Source organism: Homo sapiens, chromosome 3, assembly GCF_000001405.40.
Source record: "Homo sapiens chromosome 3, GRCh38.p14 Primary Assembly".
Classification (NCBI taxonomy): domain Eukaryota; kingdom Metazoa; phylum Chordata; class Mammalia; order Primates; family Hominidae; genus Homo; species Homo sapiens.
In genome coordinates this window covers 51,089,962-51,108,047 of record NC_000003.12, presented here as the reverse complement: position 1 = coordinate 51,108,047, position 18,086 = coordinate 51,089,962, and the positions used below count along the sequence as shown (strand labels likewise).

At 42.4% G+C, this 18,086-nt stretch overlaps 1 protein-coding gene across 22 annotated transcripts in view; it reads right to left on the bottom strand.

The window, feature by feature from the left end:
* DOCK3 (dedicator of cytokinesis 3) overlaps positions 1-18,086 on the bottom strand; it is a 709,272-nt gene that overhangs the window by 276,151 nt on the left and 415,035 nt on the right. For all 22 annotated transcript variants that reach the window (XM_005264914.4, NM_004947.5, XM_006713010.4 and 19 more), the window contains exon 9: positions 17,664-17,818. In XM_005264914.4, the coding sequence (XP_005264971.1) occupies positions 17,664-17,818 (155 nt within the window). The remainder of the gene's footprint in view (positions 1-17,663; positions 17,819-18,086) is intronic.

Sequence of the window (18,086 nt, the reverse complement as noted above, 5' to 3'; positions counted from 1 at the left end):
AAAAAAGAATGTTGAATATTGGCCCTCAATCTCTTCTGGCTTGTAGGGTTTCTGTTGAGAGGTCCACTATTTGTTTGATGGGCTTCCCTTTGTAGGTGAGCTGTCCTTTCTCTCTAGCTGCCTGTAATATTTTTTCTTTCATTTCAACCTTGAAGAATATGATGACTTACATGTACTGGGGATGATCCTCTTGTGAAGTATTTTCTGGGAGTTTTCTGCATTTCCTGAATTTGAATGTTGGCCCTCTAGCTAGGTTGGGAAGTTCTCATGGATGATATAATGAAATACGTTTTCCAAGTTCTTTCCATTTTCCCGATCTCTTTCAGGGATGCCAGTGAGTTGCAGATTCAATCTCTTGATAATCCTATATTTATCGGAAGTTTTGTTTGTTCCTTTTCATTCTTTTTTTCTTTATTCTTGTCTGTCTTATTTCAGAAAGCCAGTCTTCAAGCTCTGAGATTCTCTCCTCAGCTTGGTCTATTCTGCTGTTAATACTTCTTCTAGAGTGTTTTTCAGCTCTATCAGATTGGTTATGTTCTTTTCTATACTGGCTATTTCGTCTGTCAGCTCCTGTATTGTTTTACTGTGATTCTTAGCTTCCTTAGATTGTGTTTCAACGTTCTTCTGAATCTCAATGATCTTCATTCCTATTCATATTCTGAATTCTATTTCTGTCATTTCAGCCATCTCAGCCCAGTTAAGAACCCTTGTTGGAGAACTGTTGCAATTGTTTGGAGGAAAGAAGATACTCTGGCTTTCTGAGTTGTCAGAGTTCTTGCACTGGTTCTTTCTCATCTTTGTGGGCTAATATTCCTTCAATATTTGAACCTGCTATCCTTTGGATGGTTTTTTTTTCCCTTTTATACTACTTAATGACCTTGGGGGTTTGATTGTGATATAAGATGGGTTCAGTCAACTAGCTTCATTACTGGAAGATTTTAGGAGACCAAGGCTCAGCTCAGGACTTCTATAATGTCTGGTTTCACTCTGGAAACTGATATCAAGCTTGGCTTTGAAATCTGGCTTGAGATTAGGAATCTGCTGCACTGGAGGGGTCAAGGTGCTCTGGGACTGCTGGTCACAACACTCTGCTGGGTGGTGCCAACCAAAGTACTTCATATGGTGGTGGCAGCGGGATCTTGTTTTCATGTGCCAATGGCAGCGGCAATGCAGTGGGGAGCACACTTGTCTGCTGGGGCAGGGTGCTAGTGGGTACTGAGGTGCCAGCTTCCATTCAAGCATTTGAAGTATGGCTGGGGGGGGCACCCCCTCCTATTAGTGACTATGCTCACATTTGCACAATGGTGGTGTTAGCACGGGGGCAGGGTACTGGTGGGAGCAGGACTGTGTGTATCCACTGTATGCGTTGATGCCGGCAGCAGTGGCTGCTCAGGGCTAGGGGCAAGTCCACTATTTTCCATGCCTAGTTTTATGCCAGCACCCCTGGTGCAGGGGCAAGGCACTGGTGAGGAAAGGAGCCCACCAACATTCTGAAAACAATGGCGGTGTGGCAGGGGGAAGCAAGGGCAAGGACACTCATGTAGGCAGGTGTGGCATGGCAGGGTGCACGCACACACACACATGCCTGCAAAGTGATATAGAGAGCGGCCATGGTGACGTGTGTGCAGGCAAAGTGGCATGGGGAGGCTGCAGTGGAGGAAGGGTGTGGGTGGGCTGCAGCCTGTCAGTGGGGGCTGCTATGCTGGAGCTCTCTGCCGACCAAGCGTGGCCTGCCAGTGCAGGAGCTATGATGTGGGTACCCACAAATTACCTGAGGGCTGCACTGATGCAGGCACAGCCAGGCTGGGGCCCTGGGAGAGGCTAGCCAACTGAGGGGTGCTCAGGTCTGACCCGGCTCTATCTCATGGGCCAGATCACCTTGCAGAGTTCAGGTCAGACAGTTCCTCTAGGGGCTAAAGTCTCCTATTGGAGCAAGTGAAGCCTAGCGGGAGAGGCATCTCTGGCCATGCTCCACTACAGATGCTCCCACACCAAACCCTCTGGGCTCCACCCTGACCAGAGTTCTGCCCCTACTACTTCTCTAAGCAGCTTTCCCTGTCAACATAAGTGTCTGTGGTGGTTGAGGGATCTCTCCCTGCCAGGATTTGTGGGGCCTGTGGCAAGAGCAGATTGTTCCTTGTCTGTTCAACTCACCCCCTCTGCAGGAGTTGCTGAAGGTCAGGAATGAATCCTGGTGCATGGTAGCCCCATGCAGAATTCCCAGCTTCTTCCCCCTTCAATCCAGCCTCTATGTCTTCCCTCCATTTGCTTGCAATGTCTTCCCTCTGAAGATGTGCTAGGAGTGCAACCATCTTCCCAATGTCGGGATGTCAGTGGGAAATGTTCTTCTGGCTCCATCTAATTGGCCATCTTGGAGCAGGAGTCTGTGTCTGGCTTCTTTCACACAACATAATGCTTTCAAGATTCATTCATGTTGCTGTATCAATACTTCATTCTTTATGGTTAAGTAGTATTCCATTATATATAGATACAATGTATGTATATAGATACAATTATTTATCAATTCTCCTGTTGATATGTGATTTGTTTCCAATTTTTGGCTATGATGAACAAAGCTTCAATGAACATTCTTGTTTGTCTTTTTTATGGGCACATGTCTTGTTTCTCTTGGGTATACACCTAGGAGCAGAACTGCTGAAACAGAGTAGGCATATGCTTAACTTTATTAGAAACTATTTAAACTTCAGACCCAACCTCTGCACATTATCTGTGCACTATGAGATCCTCACCATTGGAGGGATGATTTGATATTTAAAGATGACTATGCCAGGCCCCTCCTTAAAATTCAATCATGTTCTTTATCATCTTCTTTATACATAAGGCCCAAGACCCTTAGTTGGCACAGAACACTCTTTTCCCTCATCTCTGATTTCACCATTCATACTATAACAACATCAAATGCTTGTGGTGCTTCCTGCCACTGCTTATTTCCCAAGTCTTTATTCACACTCTCTCCTTTGCTTGGAATACCTTCTGCCCCTCACTGCAAAGATTAGTAGGAGTACTCATGCTTTCCCATTATCTCTTCCAGAAAACTTTTCCTAACCCTCAGGAATAAATGGGAAATTCTCATTAGCTAGGTGCGGTGGTGTACACCCGTAGTCCCGCTACTCAGGAGGCTGGGGTTGGAGGATTACTTGAGCCTAGGAGGTTAACGCTGCAATGAGCTGTGATTCTACCACTTCACTCCAGCCTGGGAGACAGAGCAAGACCCTGTCTCAAAAATATTAAAAACATTTTAAAAATTAAAAAAGTAATGGGAAATCCTCCTAGACGTTCTGACAATACCCTGAGCAACTCTTCATTGTTGTTTATATATTTTTCTCAGATTATAAGTGTTTACTAAAGTAAATCTGGGAATTACTTAAAAGCAAAAGCAGAAAGCTATAATTGTCCACAATCCCACTAAAATTGTTCACTCAGAGGCAATCATAATCACTGTTAACATTTTCATATAAAGCCATTTTACTGCTGCCACTGGTCCAAACCCAATCTCTCCTGATATTATTATATTAAGTCTCCCAACTGGTCTTGTTTTTGCCTGCATTTCCCACAATTCACTGTCAACATGGCTACTACAGTGAACAGGTTAAAACCCAAGTCAGAACATGTCCCTCTTCCCCTCAGAAACCTTCAATGGTCCCCATTTCACTTAAAGTAAAATCCAAAGCATTTACAATAGCCTTCAAAACCCCACAGTTCTCTACCACTCCCTCGCCAAGGCCAGACATTTGTTTCTCTGACTTCACGGTCTACTTTGTCCTATGTCCTTGTTCGTTTTGTTCCAATGACACTGGTATCCTTGCTGTCCTCAGGCTCATGCTTCTGCCTGAGAGCTTCTGAAGTTGCTGTGGTTCCCTGTACATGGAAACTTCTTTTCCAAAATATTCACCTGATTGTTGCCCCAATTCTTTTAGGTCTTTACTCAATTGTCATCCTCTGAGTAAAACTCCCTCCTCATTTATCCTATCAAAAATTTCCCCTATCCCATGTTCTAGCTCCCTTCTCTGCTTTATTTTTCTAATACATATAATATCTGTATATAAATAATTGAACATGTCGCATATTTTACTTACTCATCCTGTTTTTTGTCTGCTTCTCCCTCATCCCCCATTATGGGTAGAAATATTGCTGTCTAGCTCCCTAGTATATCCCCAGGACATTAGAACAGGGCTCATCCCATTGTGTAGTTGGATAAGTGAATATCCTCCCAGTTTTTTTTCTCCTTGAGCACAAACATAGCTCAGGAAGCTCACAGAGTCCAACTTGGCCAAAGAAATGTATCCTTCCTTTGTACACATAAGGCAATAGATTTATATTAAGTCCTTGAAGGCAGAGGTATTTTACTAGTTTTCACTGATATCTGGGACTTAGAATAGGACCTGGCACATTGTAGGCACTAAATAGAGTCAACCTGCTTTAAGCATTTGGAGAATTGTTTTGAACCTTCTATGAGACTATTGCACATGGCTTAAGTATCTTGGGAGTAGCTTATCAATTTTTTGAGGGTAGATTTATTAGAAATGACAGAAAGTAATTCAGGGCTAAGTTTGGTAAAGGTAGATAATCAAGAAAGGTAAAATGATTTTTGTTGAATAAACAGGACGACAATAAGGCTCATTTTCCTGTGCCATTTATAAACTAGCTTTGCTTTCACTTTTTGAGATGCTAGAATTTATCTCTTCTGTTCTATTCCCTTTTTTGTGCATGAGCATGTCACCTACTTTGCTCTGTAGTCTCATTGTAGCACAGGCTCTCATTGTAGCACAGCTCTTGGGCCTGCACCACCATTGGTTTAGTACATCTGCTATATATTTCTCTCCATTCTATGTCTTGGGGTGCTGAAATATTTATATTTTCCATTAGAGCCCCTTGAAAGAAAAAGATATCGTTTTATATATTTAGGTTCAAAACTTAATAGCAACAAGCAGGTAGACATTTAATAAAGAGTTTTACAATTTTGATTTGAAGAGTCCATATAAAGTGTATTGTGGCTTTCCTGCAGTGGGAGGGGAATAGTAGTTTTAATGACAATTGAGTTCAAGGTAAACAACTGGCAGAATCTATTTCCAAGGGAGTCTCTGTTCTAAATGTGCTCAGAGGGAAACATATTTGGAGCATTCCTTCTCAGAAACCAGCAGCCATATCTCTAGATGCCATTAGAAGTTTACACATCAACAAAATATTTTCCCTTTTCTAACCAAGAACTGATTTTTAAAAACTCATAATTGTATATATTTTATATTTGAAATTCTAAATTTCTATTTTTCTCTCATACCATTTAACCTTTTCTAATGAGTCATAATTATTGGACTCCTGGTTCCCATGCACTGCAAAGGAGCCATCTCGTCTCAGGGCTTCCTTTTGTTTGTGCTATTTCTACAACACTATTTCTTCTGTTCTTTTGTAGCTGATTTCTAGTTACCCTAACAACAGCCACACAGCTTACTCCATGGACAGCAAGTATACATATATGTCACTCAATTTTCCATTCTCTCTCATGAGTCTCCAGACTTTGTTTTTAAACATCATTTAGCACATTCCTCAAAATATAAACCCTGATATACTGATCCAGACTTTGTTTTTAAACACCATTTAGCACATTCCTCAAAATACAAATCCTGACATACTGATTGATTTGCTGACAGAATCCAGTACCTTGTGTTCTTCACTTCCATGTGAAGATTAAAATATCCAGTTTTTAAAATCTTGCTCTGTCTTGAGATGATCTTTAATAAATCCTGATCTACAGCCAGGCAGATATTTTACATTGCTTTGTAAATGTAAAAGTAGAGAAAATAATCCTCAGTTTATGAATAAATGCTCTGGCTCTGACAGAAACACCTCCGGTCACTAGAAGTCTGTGTCCAGAGACCCTCAATGATTGTAACTCCAAAGACACCAGCCACAGGCCTTACAGTTGAGCTGTTTCTCCAAGTACCACGTTTTCAGATAAACACAAATTAGTTAAAATTTCCCCAGCTAAATATATTTTAATGACAACAAAACTTTTTAAAAGAAGTTCAAGAAAGGTAACAAACTTCAAGCTTGTATTTTCTTTGATTCCTTCATATTTTCCTTTATCCCCAACTCTGGAAAAGCTTTAGTGGTACTTTGCAAATGTGAGATTTAGCCAAGTGGATGCTGGGATCAGAGGGGAAGTGACTGTCTGTTTAAATCATGCTTTCTGTGAGCCTGGCTTTGAGGCAGGAGTAGAAATGGGAGAAAGCCTAGAATGCCTTAATCTGAATTCAGCTGGATTCTACACGAAGCCTTTTTTGCAACTATAGATTTAATGCTGGAACTCCATCTTGAGAGTTTATAATAAGTCATTTGTTCATTTGATAAATGTTACCAGCTCATAGCAGGCTCTGTAACATTTTTGCTTACATTAGTAATATTCTAAGGAAAAGGAACAGAGGGAGGAATTAGTGTGTACATATTATGGCTATTTTCTAGTTTTCACTGTAAGTTGAAAAACATCTTCAAAAGTTTACCACCACTTTGTTCACAATGGAGTATCATTCTACCACAAGTTATCTATTTTCCTTTTCAGCATCCTGATGATCTCTACCGCCTTGCAATTTTCTAAGAAAGACTAAGCCGAGGCCGGGCGCGGTGGCTCACGCCTGTAATCCCAGAACTTTGGGAGGCCGAGGCAGGTGGATCATGAGGTCAGGAGATCGAGACCATCCTGGCTAACAAGGTGAAACCCTGTCTCTACTAAAAATACAAAAAATTAGCCGGGCGCGGTGGCGGGCGCCTGTAGTCCCAGCTACTCGGGAGGCTGAGGCAGGAGAATGGCGTGAACCCGGGAAGCGGAGCTTGCAGTGAGCCGAGATTGCGCCACTGCAGTCCGCAGTCCGGCCTGGGCGACAGAGTGAGACTCCGTCTCAAAAAAAAAAAAAAAAAAGAAAGACTAAGCCGAGCATGGTAGCTCATGCCCATAATCCCAGCATTTTGGGAGGCAGAGGTGGGAGAATCGCTTGAGGCCAAGAGTTCGAGATCAGTCTGGGCAACATAGCAAGATGTCATCTCTACAAAAAAAAAAAAATTTTTTTTTAATTAGCCAGGCGTGGTGGCGTGCACCTGTAGTCCAAGCTATTCAGCAGGCTGAGGCAGGAGAATCACTTGAGCCCAGGAAACTGAGGCTGCAGTGAGCCATGATTGTGCCATTGTACTCCAGCCTGAGCAACAGGGCAAGATCCTATCTCAAAAAAAAAAAAAAGATAAATTAAATTTAGCTATTGCTTTGTTGAAGTAACTAATTTTTCTGGTTATCCCATAACTTTGGATTTTATCCTGGACCTTGTAAATGTTACATTGTAGAGAATCTGAATTCTGCTATATTCTGAAGAGAATTAGTATTTTTGTTTTAATGGTGAATTAACTTGATTAGACTTAATCTATAATCTCCATTTCTCCTGTGGTGGGTCAAATCACAGTTTTCTTTTAGCCTTTGTTGCTAGCTGCTTTGCGTCTGCCTTGGATACGCATGGTTCAGAGGTGAGCCAGTGACATGGGTAGAGCTCATACATAGAATTTGAGATTCCCATTTCCTGCTCTCTTCTCTCCAGAACTCCCTCTGGTGGCCATACTTGCCCCAGGTTCCATCTCTTGGTTCCTCAGGCTAAAAATATGGCAGGCTTTCTAATGGAGTTTCAGACACTCTATACTATGCTAGGACTACAGCTCACTTTCAGATCAAAACCACAAAAAACAGAAAATTCACCTCATGTTGATCTTTTTCTCCAACTTTTTACTGCCTTACAATATCTGCCTGCTTTATTCATTTGGCAGCACCGTCAGGTAGTTTTTGGATTTTGCTCAGTGTTAACTGTAGGAGGGCCAGACTGTCAGGGGCTTACTCCACCATACCAGAAACAAAATAAGCACAGCTTTACCTTTAGAAGATAGCCAGAATCCAAGCCACCATCGTCTGTCATCTGGTCACTGTAAAGGCTTTCTTTCTTTCTTTATCTAGTTTTTTTTATTTATCCTTAAGTAAATAAGGGTGACATGGCTGCCAGTAATTTGATCCCTTGGCTCCACCTCATTAATTTAGAAATCATTTAGAGATCAAAGGATGAGAGGATGGGACAAATTAAGTCTCTTCCCTGGAAGGTAGCCCCACAGTAGGTGTACCTTCTCAGTAAGGCCTACCCTGACAATCTTATTTAGCACAGCAAATCTCCCTTATGCTTTACTTTTTCTATTCCATAACACTTATCCCTTCAAATATGATACAATTTACTTATTTCTATTTACTGTCTGTCCCTACTATGTAAGCTTCATGAGAACATGGATTTTTGTGTGTTTTATCCACTGCCATATTACTAGAGCCTATAACAGCACAAGCACATAGCAGGTGTAAAAATAAACATTTGGTGCATAAATAAATGACTTTACCAAACACTGTAACTTCTACCTCTGATCTCACTTAATTCTCCACATTCCTCTCCTCACAGAGGATTTTTTTGATATGTGAGACGCATCAGTCATTCTGCTCTACTTTGTCCTACGTATTTTTAGGCAGAGAAGAAGTCAAATTTCTTGTAAACAATGTGAAACTTTCTAAAGAACCTGATCTTTTCTTTCACTGTTGTTATCCAGACTCTGTAGGATGATACATTAAAAATTTTCCACAGCCTAACAGTTAGACTCAGAACATAATGAAGGATGGCATATACAGAACAGCAGTTTCTGATCTTATTTTCAGATGAAAAAGGCAGGTTTAACCACAGGCCAAAGTATATATCTAAAGTAAAAGTTTCACTGTGTCTATCTCTCAAAAGACTTTCACTTTAATGCTTCCGAGTAAGAGCTGATGTGTTGGGCATATATGTAGAAGCATGTCAAGACAGTCTGACCACTAGTATGAAATATATTTAGCTTTAAACCCTATTTGAATTCATTCTGTCTATATTTTCAGTTTTGAGTTATGCAACAAAATATACTGATGAAAAACTTAGCAGGGCAACAGGATTATAAAGTTTCACTTAAACATCCATTTGTTGGCCTCCTCATCCATAGGGCACAGAAATCATTAGCTTTCTTTGTGGATGTGTGAGAAAGAGAAAGAAAAAGAGAGAATACTATTAATTTCTCTAGCCCCTCGTAATTTTTAGGGAATTTAAGTATACTGACAATGACAGACCAGAGAGCAGGGTAGAAAAAGAAAGTGATGTTAACAGTTACCAGAGACAAGGTACCAGCTCCTCTCTTATTTCTGCTGGAACTCACAGAAAATCTTTGCGAAAATGTTGGTTAGTGAGCTGGAGTCTATGTCCTGGACCAAGTTAAGACAGGCTAGACTATACGATGGGGCCTAGGGTCGAAGGACCAAGACTAAATTGCAGGTCTATTAGTGGACTGCCTAAATCCTGCAGATAAGCTCTAGCTGCATTACATACATAACCTCTTTTGCAGAGGGAAACAAAATTGTTTGCTTTAATAAAAAAGTGCTCGCCCATCATTTTAAAATAAAATTTATCTCCAGGGTCCCCTAAGATTTTCACAGAGGCAGATTATCTCATTTGGGTAGAATGCTTGACTCTCAGGGAGAGCCCTCTATTTCAATTATAGAAGCAACTGATTTTCAAGAAAAAGTTTAGTTTATGCAAGGTATCCTGAATGCTGAAAAAACTCCAAGAGAGTAAGAATGGGACTTTGGGCCAGGCACAGTGGCTCACACCTGTAATCCCAACATTTTGGGAGGCCAAGGCAGGCAGATCACGAGGTCAGGAGTTCAAGATTAGCCTGGCAAACATGGTGAAACCCCATTTCTAATAAAAATACAAAAATTAGATGGGCATGGTGGTGGGCACCTGTAATCCCAGCTGCTCGGGAGGCTGAGGCAGGAGAACAGCTTGAAACCGGAAGGCGGATGTTACAGTGAGCTGAGATCGCATCACTGCACTCCAGTCTGGGCAAAAGAGCAAAACTCCGATCGGTGGCTGGCAAGATGGTCAAATAGGAACAGATCTGGTCTGCAGCTCCCAGCGAGATCAACGCAGAAGGCAGATGATTTCTGCATTTCCAATTGAGGTACCCAGCTCATCTCATTGGGGCTGGTTAGACAGTGGGTATAGCCCATGGAGGGTGAGCTGAAGCAGGGTTGGGCATTGGCTCACCAGGGAAGCACAAGGAGTCAGGGAACTCCCTCCCCTAGCCAAGGAAAGCCGTGAGGGACTGTGCCATGAGGGACAGTGCACTCTGGCCCAGATACTACGCTTTCCCCACGGTCTTCGCAACTCATAGACCAGGAGATTCCCTCAGGTGCCTACGCCACCAGGGCCCTGGATTTCAAGCACAAAACTAGGCGGCCGTTTGGGCAGACACCAAGCTAGCTGCAGGAGTTTTATTTTCATACCCCAGTGGCGCCTGGAGCGCCAGTGAGGTGAGACAGAACCGTTCACTCTCCTGGAAAGGGGACTGAAGCCAGGGAGCCAAGTGGTCTAGCTCAGCAGATCCCACCCCCATGGAGCCCTGGAAGCTAAGATTCACAGACTTGAAATTCTCGCTACCAGCAGAGCACTCTGAATTCAACCTGGGATGCTGGAGCTTGGTAAGGGGAGGGCCAGCCACCATTACTGAGGCTTGAGTAGACAGTTTTCCTGTCACAATGTAAACAAAGCCACCTGGAAGTTCGAACTGGGTGGAGCCCACTGCGCTCCTCAAAGCCTCTGTAGCCAGACTGCCTCTCTAGATTCCTCCACTCTGGGAAGGGCATCTATGAAAGAAACTCAGCAACCCCAGTCAGGGCCTTACAGAACAAACTCCCATCTCCCTGGGACAGAGCACCTGGGGGAAGGGGTGGCTGTGGGCACAGCTTCAGCAGACTTAAATGCTCCTGCCTGTGAATCTGAAGACAGCAACGGATCTCCCAACACAGCGCTTGAGCTCTGCTGAGGGACAGACTGTCTCCTCAAGTGGGTCCCTGATCCCTGTGCCTCCTGACTGGGAGACACCTCCCAGCAGGGGTCGACAGACACCTCATACAGGAGAGCTCTGGCTGGCATCTGGTGGGTGCCCCTCTGGGACGAAGCTTCCAGAGGAAGGAACATTGCTGTTCTGCAGCTTCCGCTGGTGATACCCAGGCAAACAGGGTCTAGAAAGGACCTCCTGCAAACTCCAGCAGACCTGGAAAGCTAACAAACAGAAAGAAATAGCATCAACGTCAACAAAAAGGATGTCCACACAGAAACCCTATCCGGAGGTCACCAACATCAAAGATCAAAGGTAGATAAATCCACGAAGATGAGGAAAACCCAGTGCAAAAAGGCTGAAAATTCCAAAAACCGGAACGCCTCTTCTCCAAAGGATCACAACTCCTCACCAGCAAGGCAACAAAACTGGATAGAGAATGAGTTTGGTGAATTGACAGAAGTAGGCTTCAGAAGGTGGGTAATAACAAACTCCTCCAAGCTAAAGGAGCATGTTCTAACCCAATGCAAGGAAGCTAAGAACCTTGAAAAAGATTAGAGGAATTGCTAACTACAATAACCAGTTTAGAGAAGAACATAAATGACCTGATGGGGCAGAAAAACACAGCACAGCTTCACTTCGTGAAGCATACACAAGTATCAATAGCCGAATTGATCAAGTGGAAGAAAGGATATCAGAGACTGAAGATCAACTTAATGAAATAAAGTGTGAAGAAAAGATTAGAGAAAAAAAAAAGAAAAGAAAAGGAATGAACAAAAGCCTCCAAGAAATATGGGACTATGTGAAAAAACCAAACCTATGTTTGATTGGTGTACCTGAAAGTGACGGGGAGAATGGAACCAAGTTGGAAAACACTCTTCAGGATATTATGCAGGAGAACTTCCCCAACCTAGTAAGAAAGGCCAACATTCAAATTCAGGAAATATAGAGAACACCACAAAGATACTCCTTGAGAAGAGCAACCCCAAGACACAAGAGCAACCCCAAGACACATAATCGTCAGATTCACCAAGGTTGAGATGAAGAAAAAAATGTTAAAGGCAACCAGAGGAAAAGGTCGGGTTACCCACAAAGGGAAGCCCATCAGACTAACAGTGGATCTCTCTGCAGAAGCTTTACAAGCCAGAGAGCGTGGGGGCCAATAGTCAACATTCTTTTTTTTTTTTTTTTGCCAGAGAGCATGGGGGCCAATAGTCAACATTCTTTTTTTTTTTTTTTTTTTTTTTTTGCTAACCTTATTTATGTCACTTAAGGATTGACATTTGAAAAGAATGAGAGAATGAAGGGTGTTAGTTTAATGAGCATGAAATGTTTTATATGCTGTTATAAGAATTGAGAGAGCTTTTGAGTATTACCTTTCTCCACTAAAAGTTGGGTAAGATGGGGTGAAAAGCTTTAAAACAAATAACAGGTAAAATTAGATAAAGTAATCTGTATAACCAGAAGATAAAGATCAAATGTAAATGTTAAAAGGGCTGCATTTTGCACTAGACAATGCAAATTCCACCATCAAGTTGGTATTAAGAAACTGGGAGATTCTGGATTCTGGTGTTGTCAGTTCCAGGCTTTTTTAATACCCCAAGGAGGGCTGTGGTTGAAGCTCTAGTCAACATTCTTAAAGAATTTTCAACCCAGAATTTTATATCCAGCCACACTAAGCTTCATAAGCAAAAGAGAAATAAAATCCTTTACAGACAAGCAATTGCTGAGAGATTTTGTCACCACCAAGCCTGCCTTACAAGGGCTCCTGAAGGAAGCACTAAATATGGAAAGGAAAAACCAGTATCAGCCACTGCAAAAACATACCAAATTGTAAAGACCATCCACACTATGAAGAAACTGTATCAACGAATGGGCAAAATAACCAGCTAGCATCATAATGACAGGATCAAATTCACACATAACAATGTTAACCTTAAATGTAAACAGGCTAAATGATCCAATTAAAAGACACAGACTGGTAAATTGGATAAAGAGTCAAGACCCAGCAGGAGACCATTCTCACATGCAAAGACACACATAGGCTCAAAAGAAAGGTATGGAGCAATATTTACCAAGCAAATAGAAAGTAAAAAAAAAAAAAAGCAGGAGTTGAAATCCTAGTCTCTTATAAAACAGACTTTAAGCCAACAAAGATCAAAAAAGACAAAGAAGGGCATTACATAATGGTAAAGGGATCAATACAACAAGAAGAGCTAACTATCCTAAATATATATGCACCCAATACAGGAGCACCCAGATTCATAAAGCAAGTTCTTAGAGACCTACAAAGAGACTTAGACTCCCACACAATAATAGTGGGAGATATCTAAAATCTATGCCCTAACATCACAATTAAAAGAACTAGTAAAGCAAGACCAAGCAAATTCAAAACCAAGCAGAAGACAAGAAATAACTAAGATCAGGACAGAATTGAAGGAGATAGAGACACAAAAAACTCTTCAAAAAAATCAATGAATCCAGGAGTTCATTTTTTTGTAAAGATCAACAAAATAGACCTCTAGCCAGACTAATAAAGAAGAAAAGAGAAAAGTGAAATAGACACAATAAAAAATGATAAAGGGGATATCACCACTTATTGCACAAAAATACAAACTACCATCAGAGAATACTATAAATATCTCTACACAAATAAACTAGGAAAATATAGAAAAAATGGATAAATTCCTGGACACACACCTCCCAAGACTAAACCCAGAAGAAGTCGAATCCCTAAACAGACCAACAACAAGTTCTGAAATGGAGGCAGTAATTAGTAGCCTACCAACCAAAATAAGCCCAGGACCAGAGAGATTCACAGCCGAATTCTACCACAGACACAAAGAGGAGCTGGTACCATTCCTTTTGAAACTATTCCAATAAACAGAAAAAGAGGGAATCATCCCTAAGTCATTTTATGAGGCCAGCATCATCCTGATACCAAAACCTGGCAGAGACACAACAAAAAAAGAAAATTTCGGGCCAATATCCCTGATGAACATCGATGCAAAAATCTTCAATAAAATACTGGCAAAACCAACTCCAGCAGCATATCAAAAAGCTTATCCACCATGATCAAGTTGGCTTCATCCCTGGGAGGCAAGGCTGGTTCAACATATGCATATCAATAAACGTAATCCATCACATAAACAGAACCAATGACAAAAACCACATGTTTATCTCAATAGATGCAGAAAAGGCCTTCGATAAAATTAAACACTGCTTCATGCTAAAAACTCTGAACAAACTAGGTATTGATGTAACATATCTCAAAATAGTAAGAGCTATTTATGACAAACCCAGAGCCAGTATCATACTGAATGGGCAAAAGCTGGAAGCATTCCCTTTGAAAACTGGCACAAGACAAGGATGCCCTCTCACCACTCCTATTCAACATAGTATTAGAAGTTCTGGCCAGGGCAATCAGGCAAGAGAAAGAAATAAAGGAAAGAGAGGAAGTCAAATTGTCTCTGTTTGCAGATGACATGATTGTAAATTTAGAAAACCCCATCGTCTCAGCCCAAAATCTCCTTAAGCTGATAAGTAACTTCAGCAAAGTCTCAGGATACAAAATCAATGTGCAAACATCACAAGCATTCCTATACACCAATAATAGATGAGCAGAGAGCAAAATCACGAGTGAACTCCAATTCACAATTGCTACAAAGACAATAAAATACCTAGGAATACAACTTACAAGGGATGTGAAGGACCTCTGCATGGAGAACTACAAACCACTGCTCAAGGAAATCAGAGAGGACACAAACAAATGGAAAAACATTCCATTTGCTCATGGATGGGAAGAATCAATATAATGAAAATGGCCATACTGCCTGAAGTAATTTATAGATTCAATGCTATCCCCATCAAGCTACTACTGACTTTCTTCACAGAATTAGAAAAAACTACTTTAAATTTCATATGGAACCAAAAAAGAGCCTGCATAGCCAAGACAATCCTAAGCAAAAAGAACCAAGCCAGAGGCATCATGCTCTCTGACTTCAAACTATACTACAAGGCTACGGTAACCAAAACATCGTGTTACTGGTACCAAAACGGATATATAGGCCAATGGAACAGAAGAGAGGCCTCAGAAATAACACCACACATCTACAACCATTTGATCTTTGACAAACTTAACACAAACAAGCAATGGGGAAATGATTCCCTATTTAATAAATGGTGTCGGGAAAACTGGCTAGCCATATGCAGAAAACTGCAACGGAACCCGTTCCTTACACCTTATACAAAAATTAACTCAAGATGGATTAAATTGCTGCCTGTTCTTTCGTCTGGAAGCTTCGTCCCAGAGGGGCAACTGCCAGATGCCAGCCAGAGCTCTCTTGTATAAGGTGTCTGTAGGCCCTTACTGGGAGGTGTCTCCCAGTCAGGATATATGGGGGTCAGGGACCCACTTGAGGAGGCAGTCTGACCCTTAGCAGAGCTCAAACGCTGTGCTAGGAGGTCCGCTGCTCTCTTCAGAGCCATCAGGCAGGGAAACTAAAGTCTGCTGAAGCTGCGCCCACAGCTGCTCCTTCCCCCAGGTGCTCTGTCCCAGGGAGATGGGGGTTTTATCTATAAGTCCCTGACTGGGGCTGCTGCCTTTTTTTCAGAGATGCCCTGCCCAGAGAGGAGAAATCTGGCAGTCTGGCCACAGCAGCCTTACTGAGCTGCAGTGGGCTCCGCCCAGTTCAAACTTCCCAGCGGCTTTGTTTACACCGTGAGCATAAAACCACCTACTCAAGCCTCAGTAATGGCAGATGTCCCTCCCCCAACCAAGCTCGAGCATCCCAGGTCGATCTCAGTCTGCTGCTGTGCTGGCAGTGAGAATTTCAAGCCAGTGAATCTTTTAGTTTGCTGGGCTCCATGGGGGTGGGACCTGCCAAACCAGACCACTTGGCTTCCTGGCTTCAGCACCCCTTTCCAGAGGAGTGAACAGTTCTGTATCACTGGCGTTCCAGGTGCCAATGGGTTATGGAGAAAAACAAACTCCTGCAGCTAGTTTGGTGCCTGCTCAAACAGCTACCCAGTTTTGTGCTTGAAACCCAGGTCTCTGATGTGTTAGGCACCAGAGGGAATCTCCTGGTCTGCGGGTTGCAAAGACCATGGGACAAGCGCACTATCTGGGCCAGAGTGCACAGTTCGTCAGGCTCAGTACCTCATGGCTCCCCTTGGGTAGGGGAGAAAATTCCCCAACCCCTTGCACTTCCCAGGTGAGGCAATGCGCCACCCTGCTTCGGCTTGCCCTCCATGGGCTGCACCCACTGTCCAACCAGTCCCAGTGAGATGAACCGGGTACCTCGGCTGAAATGCAGAAATCACCCGCCTTCTGCATCAATCTTGCTGGGAGCTGCAGACCAGAGCTGTTCCTATTCAGCCATCTTGCCAACAATCCATCTTTTTTTTTTTTTTTTTTTTGAGACCAAGTCTCACACTGTCAGCTGGGCTATAGTGCAGTGGCACCATCCCGGCTCAGTGCAACCTCCGCCTCCCAGGTTGAAGCGATTTTCCTGCCTCAGCCTCCTGAATAGCTGGGCTTACAGGAGCCCGCCACCACGCCCAGCTAATTTTTTGTATTTTTGGTAGAGATGGGGTTTCACTATGTTGGTCAGGCTGGTCTCAAACTCCTGACTTCGTGATTCGCCCTCCTCGGCCTCCCAAAGTGGTGGCATTACAGTCGTGAGCCATTGCTCCTGGGCCACAATAATGGAATAGTTTTATCTGTTTCATATATTGGACTTTTTCATAAAATGTAGCTTGAAGAAAGGATTTTTACACACACATACACACTCTCACACACACAAATAAAGTTTACAAACATCTGGATAGTAGGAAAAGAAGAGCAGCCAGAATCTATATCCACACAGCCCTGGCCTGTAGTCTTGCCTACATGCAACAGTTTTAGCTTTCATCAATACCACTACTACCTTCTCTACAATAACTTTCCCAAGGGCACATACTAGGAGCCATTGGTGATAAGGAAAATTCACATGTCCTGATCAATGGGTGCATCATTTTATTCCTATGCCAAAGTAAAGCATAGTGTATTAATATTTTTGTCAAGATCAGAGGCACTGTGGGGCATATAAATTAACTGTTTTTCTTTTGCATTCTGTTATAACTTCCATTTCTAATTTTCCCACATATAATATATAATTGGAAAAGTGAAAAATCTGCTTTCGAATTTTAAGTACTAAAGCAAGTAAAAGCCATAAAGCACTCCTAACACAAGAAGTTCCCAAGCAATATAAAAGAAACTCAGAAGATGCTCTCCTTTCATGGGCTGCCCAGACAAGACACCATCAGCCCCCTTTTTCTTCAAACCCTCTCTTCCACATGCAGCAAGCCAAGGCCCAGGGCTTCCTGCACTCTGGAGCTGTGTGTCTCTGCTGCATTTGTTTGGTTCTATGTTTCTCCTATGCCTTTTTTGTGGTATTAAATAGATGCATCCTTTTCTCTCTGTGAGGTGGTGATAGCCAAGACTCGATTTTGAGCTTCTATGTGGAAAAAGTCATAAAAAAGGCAGCCACCCATGGTATGGTTTACGTGACTTAAGGGCACACAGGGAATTGGGGCCAAAACTCCTAGCTAATGAGATGAGGTTACTTTATCTTGTTTTGCCTCTTCTGTGCATCTGTCTTCTCTGATGGCCAGAGATGCCTATGACCCATACCATCCTAACATAGAACCTCACCAGAATTTCCAGTGACTCTCACCTGATCTGCTTGCCTTCCCTCATGTCATATAAGGAAAAGAAGACATCGGTATCTTCCCCAATAGTATTGTAAGTGAAACTCTTCAGGCTGAGGAAGAAGTGATGTGGCACTGGCATCCGACATGTTTCCCCATGACGTGGGCGCATTGTATCTACCTAATGAGGAAGAAAAAAACCCAGTGATTTTTATTTTAGTTATTTTTTATATTGATCATTAAAAAGTGGAAACTAAATTACAAACTCTTTTCACACTACTGAAGGAGATTATTTGAGAAACTGAAGATGTTTTCTCTGCTTGTAGGGGATGCTGCATCAACAGACTTGGGTTGAGGTGGGCAAGCAAGCAGCTGGGAGGAGTAAACAGTGAAGAAATATAGGGACAGTAATTCCAACTTACAAGTGAACTAAAAATCTCCACCAGGTG